This window comes from Homo sapiens, chromosome 3 (genome assembly GCF_000001405.40).
Source record: "Homo sapiens chromosome 3, GRCh38.p14 Primary Assembly".
Lineage (NCBI taxonomy): Eukaryota > Metazoa > Chordata > Mammalia > Primates > Hominidae > Homo > Homo sapiens.
This window is the reverse complement of record NC_000003.12, coordinates 147,341,467-147,343,353: the sequence shown is the minus strand read 5'-3', so window position 1 is coordinate 147,343,353 and position 1,887 is coordinate 147,341,467. Positions and strand designations below refer to the sequence as shown.

At 36.8% G+C, this 1,887-nt stretch overlaps 1 annotated feature.

Moving 5' to 3' along the window:
- Positions 1,143–1,887: an enhancer, noted in NCBI's record as "OCT4-NANOG hESC enhancer chr3:147059254-147059998 (GRCh37/hg19 assembly coordinates)". NCBI's record gives its function as "activates a minimal SCP1, AML or CMV promoter by ChIP-STARR-seq in naive and primed H9 embryonic stem cells {active_cell/tissue: H9 hESC(naive and primed)}" and the evidence as "EXISTENCE:reporter gene assay evidence [ECO:0000049][PMID:30033119]".

The following is a 1,887-nucleotide window of genomic DNA, read 5'->3' as shown; positions in this document are numbered from 1 at the left end:
AGAGTAAAAATGTGCATGGGGCACATTTTTCATCAGATCATCTAATTTAATATGATTTTTCATGGTTTGCAAGGCTTTTTGTGATGTGTTTCTGCTCTAATACTTGCTGCCTCGTGACTGTGTGCAAGTTAAAAGTCTGTCTTTGTGCCTCAGTTTTTCTCATAAGTAAAATTGAGAAAATAATAGTACCTACCTCAGGAAATTTTTGTGATGATGAGATGAGATTATACCTGAAATATACCTAAAAGAGTACTATAGTAAGTTCTTACTTAAGGTTAGCTGGCATTAATTATAGTTATTATCATCACTACTATTATTATCATCGAGAGATATTTTAAAAGCGCAAACTTTGGAACCAGATTTCCCAGCTGTGAATCCTGGGTTCATCACGTGCTACATGTGGGTATTTGGTCAAGTTCTTTCAGCTTCCAGGTCTTTATTTCCTCATCTGTAAAATGGGGACAATAGTACTTACTTCATAAGATCATTGTTAATTTTAAATCTATTAATGTATATAAAGGTTTACAGCTATGCCTGGTTCATAATTGTCATTATGGTGATGATTATTTTTCTGACTGGCCCTCACCTTCTTGCACTCTACTCCTAAACCACATTGACTTGTGTTTTGTTTATCAAATGAATCAACCCATTATACTTCAAGGTTTTTGCTCTTGAGCTCACCTCTTCAGCCAGGCCTTTCTCAACCACCCTGTTTCTTTTGCTCCAAACCCACAGGTATTCTCTATCTCAATTAGTCTCAGTTTTGTCACAGCATTTTCTATCTGACATTGTCTTTGTACATGTATGGCTTCCCTTATCCTACTCCTCACAAATCTTAAAGAATATAGATCGCATGCTTTGTTTGCTATTGTATCCTAGGGCCTAGATCAACACCTGTATATGGTAGAATTAAAAATAGTCAAATCAATGAGCACAATTGTGATAGGGTCTAAAGTGATCTGTAGATCAGTAAAGACCATTTACATCCTATTCTTAAAAACAGTGTAGAATAGGGCAGTCCAAAATGTGGTCCATATGATTGATTCTATAAAGTTGGGTCCAATGTTGGCAGCTATATACTCTATGTCTAGACCATGATACTTTGAGGATAAAAGGAGTTGCTGTTAATAATCATGACAAAATAGTATGCAAAAAACTGGGGCAGTCCAGAGTAAATCTTATCCATGAATTATCTGCATTAGGATCATAGGTGATGATGGACTCATAAATGCAGCTTCCCAGGCCCTGTTTCAGCTCCACAGCATCAGGATCTTTGGTAAAGACACCTGATGTCTATATAAGGAAGTGCTCTGGGTGATTTTGAAACATGCCAAACATGCCAGAGTTTGAGAACCACTGGGGTTGAGGATTAGAACATCCTCTTTTGGGTGCTTTGTCCCCAACCCAGGAGGCTTCCCTAAAGGCGTTAAATACTTATTAACACTGTTGTGTGAGAGCTGCAGTGGCGAGATTGCTGCTTGGAAGCCAAGCACTCATTAGCACTTGTATAGGAACCTCTGCCTGTTCTTGAGGGTTAGTTTCTTGGCAAACAATAGAAGTCTTCATGAAGCACTTCTGCAGAGTGAGGACAAATTTGGGGTAATGTAGTGCAAATTGTAGGAAGTGAGTACATTAGCAATTAAAGAGGTTTAATAAGTCTGAAAAAGAGTTTTCGTAAGTCTGGAAAAATTATGTATATTTTAGGAGAAAAGTGAATAATGGTAATATAATTAAAGGCTAATCACTTATAGTTGAATCCTATAGTACCGTCTTTCTTTCTTAAAATAATGCTTTGGAGATTGGAGTCTGGAGTTTGAAGATCAGGCTAACACTTATAAAATACATTTGTTTTTTGAATTTTTGCTACATGTATTTGTTTTGGCCACA